The following is a 9,680-nucleotide window of genomic DNA, read 5'->3' on the forward strand; positions in this document are numbered from 1 at the left end:
CTGATGAAAATCGATGCAAATATCCTCAATAAAATACTGGCAAACCGAATCCAGCAGCACATCAAAAAGCTTATCCCCCACAATCAAGTTGCCTTCATCCCTGGGATGCAAGGCTGGTTCAACATATGCAAATCAATAAATGTAATCCATCACATAAACAGAACCAAAGACAAAAATCACATGATTATCTCAATAGATGCAGAAAAGGCCTTTGACAAAATTCAACAGCGCTTCATGCTAAAAACTCTCAATAAACTAGGTATTGATGGGACATATCTCAAAATAATAAGAGCTATTTATGACAAACCCCCAGCCAATATCATACTGAATGGGCAAAAACTGGAAGCATTCCCTTTGAAAACTGGCACAAGACAAGGATGCCCTCTCTCACCACTCCTGTTCAACATAGTGTTGGGAGTTCTGGCCAGGGCAATCAAGCAAGAGAAAGAAATGAAGGGTATTCATTTAGGAAAAGAGGAAGTCAAATTGTCCCTGTTTGCAGATGACATGATTGTACATTTAGAAAACCCCACTGTGTCAGCCCAAAATCTCCTTAAGCTGATAAGCAACTTCAGCAAAGTCTCAGGATACAAAAATCAATATGCAAAAATCACAAGCATTCCTATACACCAATAACAGACAAACAGAGAGCCAAATCATGAGTGAACTCCCATTCACAATTGCTACAAAGAGAATAAAATACCTAGGAATCCAACTTACAAGAGATGTGAAGGACCTCTTCAAGGAGAACTGCAAACCACTGCTCAATGAAATAAAAGAGGACACAAACAAATGGAAGAACATTCCATGCTCATGGTTGGGAAAAATCAATATCGTGAAAATGGCTATACTGCCCAAGGTAATTTATAGATTCAATGCCATCTCCATCAAGCTACCAATGACTTTCTTCACATAATTGGAGAAAACTACTTTAAAATTCATATGGAACCAAAAACAGCCCGCATTGCCAAGACAATCCTAAGCAAAAAGAACAAAACTGGAGGCATCACACTACCTGAATTCAAACTATACTACAAGGCTACAGTAACCAAAACAGTGGGGTACTGGTACCAAAACAGAGATATAGAACAATGGAACAGAACAGAGGCCTCAGAAATAACACATCTACAACCATCTAATCTTTGACAAACCTGACAAAAACAAGAAATGGGGAAAGGATTCCCTATTTAATAAATGGTGCTGGGAAAACTGGCTAGCCATATGTAGAAAGCTGAAACTGGATCCCTTCCTTACATCTTATACAATGATTAATTCAAGATGGATTAAAGACTTAAATGTTAGACCTAAAACCATAAAAACCCCAGAAGAAAACCTAGGCAATACCATTCAGGACATAGGCATGGGCAAGAACTTCATGACTAAAACACCAAAAGCAATGGCAACAAAAGCCGAAATTGACAATTGGGATCTAATTAAACTAAAGAGCTTCTGCACAGCAAAAGAAACTGCCATCAGAGTGAACAGGCAACCTACAGAATGGGAGAAAATTTTTGCAAACTACCCATCTGACAAAGGGCTAATATCCAGAATCTACAAAGAACTTAAACAAATTTACAAGAAAAAAATCAAACAACCCCATCAAAAAGTGAGCAAAGGACATGAACAGATACTTTTCTAAAGACGACATTTATGCAGCCAACAGACACATGAAGAAATGCTCATCATCACTGGTGATCAGATAAATGCAAATCAAAACCACAATGAGATACCATCTCACACCAGTTAGAATGGCCATCATTAAAAAGTCAGGAAACAACAGGTGCTGGAGAGGATGTGGAGAAATAGGAACACTTTTACACTGTTGGTGGGAGTGTAAACTAGTTCAACCATTGTGGAAGACAGTGTGGCAATTCCTCAAGGACCTAGAACTAGAAATACCATTTGACCCAGCGATCCCATTACTGGGTATATACCCAAAGGATTCTAAATCATGCACCTATAAAGACACATGCACACGTATGTTTATTGCAGCACTATTCACAATAGCAAAGATTTGAAACCAACCCAAGTTTCCATTAATGATAGACTGGATTAAGAAAATGTGGCACATATACACAATGGAATACTGTGCAGCCATAAAAAATGATGAGTTCATGTCCCTTGTAGGGACATGGATGAAGCTGGAAACCATCATTCTTAGCAAACTATCACAAAGACAGAAAACCAAACACCACGTGTTCTCACTCATAGGTGGGAATTGAACAATGAAAACACTTGGACACTGGGCGGGGACATCACACACTGAGGCCTGTTGGGGGTGGGGGGCTGGGAGATGGATAGCATTAGTAGAAATACCTAATATAAATGACAACTTAATGGGTGCAGCAAACCAACACGGCATGTGTATACATATGTAACAAACCTGCACGTTGTGCACATGTACCTAGAACTTAAATATAATTAAAAAGAAAAAAAAAGTCAGGAAACAGCAGGGGCTGGAGAGGATGTGGAGAAATAGGAACACTTTTACACTGTTGGCGGGAGTGTAAACTAGTTCAACCATTGTGGAAGACAGTGTGGTGATTCCTCAAGGATCTGGAACTAGAAATACCATTTGACCCAGCGATCCCATTACTGGGTATATACCCAAAGGATTTTAAATCATGCTACTATAAAGACACATGCACATGTATGTTTATTGCAGCACTATTCACAATAGCAAAGATTTGAAACCAACCCAAATGTCCACCAGTTCTAGACTGGATTAAGAAAATGTGGCACATATACACCTTGGAATATTATGCAGCCATAAAAAAGGATGAGTTCATGTCCTTTGTAGGGACATGGATGAAGCTGGAAACTATCATTCTCAGCAAACTATTGCAAGGACAGAAAACCAAGCACTGCAAGTTCTGACTCATAGGTGGGAATTGAACAATAAAAACACCTGGACACAGGGCAGAGAACATCACACAGTGGGGCCTGTTATGGGGTGGGGGGATGGGGGAAGGTTAGCATTAGGAGAAATACCTAATGTAAATGACGAATTAATGGGTGCAGCAAACCAACATGGCACACGAATACACATGTAACAAACCTGCACATTGTGCACATGTACCCTAGAACTTAAAGTATAATAAAAATAAATAAATAAATAAAAATAAAAATAAAGTAGCCTACTATATAGGACCTTAAGTCATGAAAAGACCTGGATTTAGCCTCTGGAACAAATGCTAATTACCCACTAAGAAACAGCTAAACCTATTTAAAAAAAAGTCAACATCAGATGAACTTAAAAGATGTATCTTAATAATAAACTGAACTTTTCTGATAGTTGTCAGAATCATAAGGTAGAATTTAATTCCTAAGTGAAAAGCTGAAGTAATTTCAGGGAGATAGGAGTTTTAACAAAATCAAACTAAAATATATTTAACATAAACATCTATTTGGCAGGAGGTTTTTTAAAGACAAATGAAAGCTAAATTTTAACAATTTATAGAGAGAAATGTATAAATTTAAAAACTGATATTTAAAATCATGCTCAAATTACAACAGATTAACATCATTACTTAGCCTAATTAATTCAATTAAGTTACTTTTCACCATTCAAAAAATAATAACTAAATGAAGAAGAAGGCAGTAATGGAGAAACTGAGAGACAAAAAAAGCTATAGGCACATAGGAAACAAATAGCAAAAGAGCAGAGGTCTCTCCTTATAATAACTTTTACTGTAAGTAGATTAAACTCTCTGCTATGGTTTGAATATAATTTGCTCCCCCACTAAAACTCATGTTGAGGCTTGATCTTCAATGCAATATTGTTGGGAGGTGAAGCCTAGTAGGAAATGTTTGGGTCATGGGAGTGGATCCCTCATAAATAGCATGCCATGTCTTGGTAATGAGCTCTCAGTCTCATGGGACTGGATCGGTTACCATGAGAGTGGGTTGTTGTAAAGCAGGGCTGCATCTCATATTTGCACTTTTTGCACGTCTGCCTACTTTCTGCTTCACCATAATATTGTGACACAACTTGTGGCCCTCACCAGAAGCCCAGCAGATGCCAGCCAGTACCATAGTTTTGGACTTTCCAGCCACCAGAATTGTGAGCCAAATAAATCTCTTTCCTTTATAAGCTACATAGCCGCAGGTATTCAGTTATAGCAACACTAAACAAAGACAGAAAATTGGTACTGAGGAATGAGGTGTTGCTATACAGATATCTAAAAATGTGCAGTAGCTTTAGAATTGGGTAACTAGTAGAGGCTGAAAGAGGAACAGTCTAGAAAAAGCCTAGATTCTAATGAAGGCTTAGAAGACAAGAAGACTAGAGAAAGTCTGGAACTCCTTAGAGATTCATTAAGTGGTTGTGACCAAAATGCTGACAGAAATATGGAAAGTAAAGTCTGTTCTTTTGAGATCTCAGATGGAAATAGGAAATATCTTATTGGAAACTGCCATAAAAGGCATTCTTGTTACACATTCATAAACAAAGAAACAAAAAAAACTTGGGTGCATTGTCTCCATCCCCTAGGGCTTTATGGAAGGCAGAATTTAAGAGTGATGAACTAGTATATCTAGAGGAAGGAATATCCAAGCAGCAAAGCATGCAGGAAGCAGCATGGTTATTTTTAACTGCTTACAATGAATTACAGGAGCAAAGGATAATCTATAGGCAAAATGTACACTTAAAAGGGAAATAACATAAAAATTTGGAAAATTCTCAGCCTGGCCATGTGGTAGAGAATGAAAGAGCATATTTAGGAGAAGAATCCAACAGTGCATCTGAGAAACTGGTTGTTAAAGGGATTAGTACTGATAGACAAAAAAGCCAATAGCTAATTGTGAAGACAATGAGGAAAAGACCCAAAAAGTATTTCAGAAATCTTAAGAGGTTGCCCCTCCCATCACAGGCCCAGAGGCATAGGAGGAAAGAATGGCTTTGGGAGATGGGCCTAGGGCACCTTCCATAGGTTTGCTGCCCAGGGTTGCCTTGGGATGCTGCTCCCCATATCTTGACCATTCTGGCTGCTCCAGCAATGTCACAAGCAGCCCCAGGTATGGCTTGGGCCACCACTCTAAAGAGTGCAGATGGTAAGCCTTGGAAACATCTACATCCATGTGGTGCTAATTCCGAAGGTGTGCATAATGCAAGAGCAGCAGAGGCATGGCTGCCTCCACCAATATTTCAAAGGATGCTGCAGAAAGCCTGCGTGCCCAGGCAGAAGCTTCCCCCAAGGGATAAAGCTGCCACAGAGAGTCCCTACCAGGGCAATGCCTAGTGGAAATGTGGGAGTGGGGCCACTGCCCTCAAGACCCCAGAATGCCACCAGCAGCATTCAGTGCCTACCAGGAAAAGCTACAGGCACTGGACTCCAAGGTGTACAAGCAGCCACATAAGGTGCACCTACCAAAGCCATAGGGGTGGGGCTGCCTGAGGCACTGGGGGCCCAACTCCCATCTCAGTATGTCCAGCAGGTGGCACATGGAGTGGAAACTTATTTTGGAGCTTTAAGATTTGTCTGCCCTGCTGGGTTTCAAATTTGCTTTGGGCCAGTTATTCACTTCTTTGGGCCTTCTACCCCTTTTTGAAGTGGGAATGTTAACCCAATATGTATGCTACCATTGTATCTTGAAAGTAAATAACTTGATTTTTTATTTTATGGGCTCACAGCTGGAAGGAACTAGTCTTGAGTCTCAGATGAGACTTTGGACTTTGGACTTTTGGGTTGGTGCTTGAATGAGTTAAAACTTTGGGGACTATTGGGATGGGATGAATGTGTTTTGCATTGTAAGAAGAATGTGAGTTTTTCGGGGGGAGGGGGCAAACGCATTGGTTTAAATATGGTCTGTTCCATATTCATATCAATGCAGCAGTGCTGGGAGGTGAAGAATAGCAGGTAGTGTTTGGGTCAGGGGGGCAGATCACTCATTAATGGGTGAATGCTGTTTTGCAGGAGTGAGTTCTCACTCTTGCACAACTGAATTAGTTACCACGAGAGGGGATTGCTATAAGGTGAGGCTCCCTCTCATGTTTACCTTCTTTGCACATGCCTGTCTATCATTCTGCTTCTCTACCATGTTATTATGCTGCACAAGGCCCTCACCAGAAGTCAAACAAATTCTGGCACCAGGTATTTGGACTTTTCAGCCACCACAGTTATAAGCCAAATAAATCTCTTTTCTTTATAAATCATTCAACTTCAGGTATTCTGTTGTAGCAACACTAAATAGACTAAGACAATCTCCAATCAAAAGATAAAAATTGGCAGAATTGAATGAAAAGTAATCCAACTATATGCTGTCTACAAAAGATTCACTTTAAAACCAAAGATGTAAATAGTTTGAAAGTGAAAGGATGATAAAAAGATACTCCATGAAAATTGTTATCAAAAGAGAGCTAGGGCAGCTACACTAATATCATAAAAAATAGACGTCAAATTTTTAAGGTTTACAAGAGAAAAATAAGGACATTGTATGATATAGCAAGAAGATATAACCATGTTAAACACTTTGTGCACCTAATAATAGACTGTCAAAACATATAAAGCCAAAATTGACAGAAATGAAAGGAGATATAAATTGTTCTACTTAATAGTTGGAAACTGCAATAATATATTTTTTATAATGGATAAAACAGACAAGAGATAGATAAGGAAATAGAGGGCTTGAACAACACAATAAACCAACTACAGCTAACAGACTTATACAGACATATGCAGAACAACCAACAAAAGCAGAATACACATGTTTCTCAAATGCCCATGGAACATTCTCTAGAATAAACCATATGCTAAGTCTCTGTAGATTTTAAAATATATATATCATATAAAGTATCTCCTCCAACTACCTCAGGATGAAATTAGGAATCAATAACAGAAGAAAACTGGAAAACATATGAGCAAGTTAAACAACACACTATTAAACAACTAAAGGATCAAAGAAGAAATCACAAAGGGATTAGAAAATACTTTGAGATGAATAAAAAGAACAGCATAACATACTAAAATGTATGGGATGCAGTGAACACAGAGCTCAGAGAGAAATTTATAGCTGTAAATATCTACATTGAAAAAGAAGAAAGACTTCTCAAAATATTTCAAATAATTGAAGAGGAGGGAAAACTTCTTAACTCATTCTGAGGCCAGCTTTACTCAATGTCAAAGTCAGACAAAGACACTGCAAGAAAAGAAAACTACAGACCAATATCTCTTATCAATATTGATGCAAAAATTTTCAACAAAACACTAGCAAATCGAATTCAACAGCACGCTACAAGAATTATACACCACTTCCAAGTGGGATTTATTCCTGGAAAGATAGTTCAACAAATGAAAACCATCCATGTAATATGCAACATTAACAGAATAAAGCAGGGAAAAACAGCTCGGGATCATCTCAATTGATGCAGAAAAAGCATTTGATGAAATTTAACATACTTTTATGATTAAAAAGAAACAACAAACTAGAAATAGAAAAAACCTACCACAATATAATAAAGGCCATATGTTAAAAACCCACAACTAACATCACACTCAATGGTAAATAACCGACAGCTTTTCCTCTAAGATCAGGAACAAGGCAAAGAGTCCATTTTTACCACTTCTATTCAACATAGTATTGAAAATCATAGCCAGAGTAATCGAGCACTAGAAAGACGTAAAGGGCATCTAAATCAGAAAGGAAGAAGTAAAATTATCTCTGTTCTTTGACAACGTTATGTTATATGCATAGAAAATCCTAAGGATTTTACCCAAAAAAAGTTAGAAATAATAAATGAATTCAGCAAAGTTACAGGATACAAAATCAACATGCAAATATCGTTGCTTTTTTTTTCTTTTTTTGTTGGAGGAGATAGGCTTTTGCTCTGTCAATCAGACTGGAGTGCAGTGGTGCGATCACAGTTGACTGCAGCCTTGAACTCCTGGGCTCAAGCAATCCGCCCACATCAGCCTCCTCGGTAGCTGGAACAACAGGCACACACAACCATGCCTAGCCAATTTTTAAAATTTTTTGTAGAGACAGGGTTTCATACTGTTGCCCAGGCTGGTCTAAAACTCCTGCCTTCAAGCAATCCTCCTGCCTCAGCCTCTCAAAGTGCTGAGATTACAGGCATGAACCACTGTGCCTTACCTCAGCTGCATTTTCATATACTAACAATAAACAATCCAAAAAGGAAATTAAAACACAACTCCAACAACATCAAAAAGAATAAAACACTTAGGAATAAACAACCAAGGAGGCAAAAGAATTGTACACTAAAACTAGAAAACATTGCTGAAAGAAATTAAAGAAAACACAAATAAATGGAGAGACATTCCATTTTTATCATTGGAAGACTTAGTATTGTTAAGATGTCAATACAACCCAAAGCAATCTACAGATTCAGTACAATCCCTATCAAAATCCCAGTGAGGCTGGATGCAGTGGCTCATACCTGTGTTCTCAGCATTTTGGGAGGCTGAGATGGGAGGATCACTTGAGCCCAGGAGTTCAAGACTAGCCTAGGCAATATAGAGATAATGTGTTTCTACAAACAAACAAACAGCTGAGTTTGGTGGCATGCACCTGGTGTCCCAGCTACTCGGGAGGCTGAGATGGGAGAACTGCTTGAGCCCATGGAGTTGAGGCTGCAATGAGCCATGATTGTGCCACTGCACTCCAGCCTGCATGACAGAGCAAGACTCTGTCTTAAAATAAATAAAATACAATAAAATTTCATATACACTTTTTTGAAGATACAGAAAAATCCATCCTAAAATTTGTATGGAATCTCAAGAGATCCCAAATAAGCAAAACAACATTGAAAAGAACAAAGTTGCAGCTCTTAGATATCCTGGTTTTAAAACTTACTACAAAGCTACAAGCAATCCAAACAGTATGGTATGAGCATAAACACAGACATACTGACAAGTGGAATAGAATAGATATCCCAGAAATAAACCCTTATGTATACAGTCAAATGACTTTCAACAGGGTGCCAAGAACATTCAATGGGGAAAAGATAGTCTGTTTAACAAATGACATTGAAAAACTAGATATCCACACATAAATAATGAAGTTAGATCATTACAGCATATATAAAAATAATTCAAAATTGATCAAAGACTTAAACATAAGAACTAAAATTACAAAAAATCCTAATATATAGGAAAAAAGCTTAATTGCATTGGATTTGTCAATAATTCTTGGATATGACACCAAAACCACAGGCAACAAAAGAATAAAGATAAATTATAGTATATCAAAGTTTACAATTTCTATGCATCAAAGGTCACAATCAACAGTGAAAAGACAACTCATGGAATGAGAGAAGATATTTGCAAATTGTATATCTGATAAGGGATTAATATCCAGAATATATGTATATAACTTTTACAATTTAACATAAAATGAACAATGTAATTTTAAAATGAGCAAAGAATTTAAATAGGCATTTCTCCCAATAAGATATACACATGACCAGTTAGCATATGAAAAGATGCTCAATATCAATATCACTCATAATTAGGGAAATGCAAATTAAAACCTCAATAAGACCACTTCATTAATGAGAATGGCTATTATAAAAAAAAAACAGAAATTAACAAGCATTGGCAAGAATGAGAAGAAACTGGAACCCTTTTGCATTGTTGATGGGAATGTAAAATGTCACAGCAGCTATTGAAAATAACATGGAAAGTTCTCCAAAAACTGAATATAGAATTACCTTATGATCCAGC

The sequence above is a fragment of the Homo sapiens genome, chromosome 1, assembly GCF_000001405.40.
Source record: "Homo sapiens chromosome 1, GRCh38.p14 Primary Assembly".
NCBI classification, from domain to species: domain Eukaryota; kingdom Metazoa; phylum Chordata; class Mammalia; order Primates; family Hominidae; genus Homo; species Homo sapiens.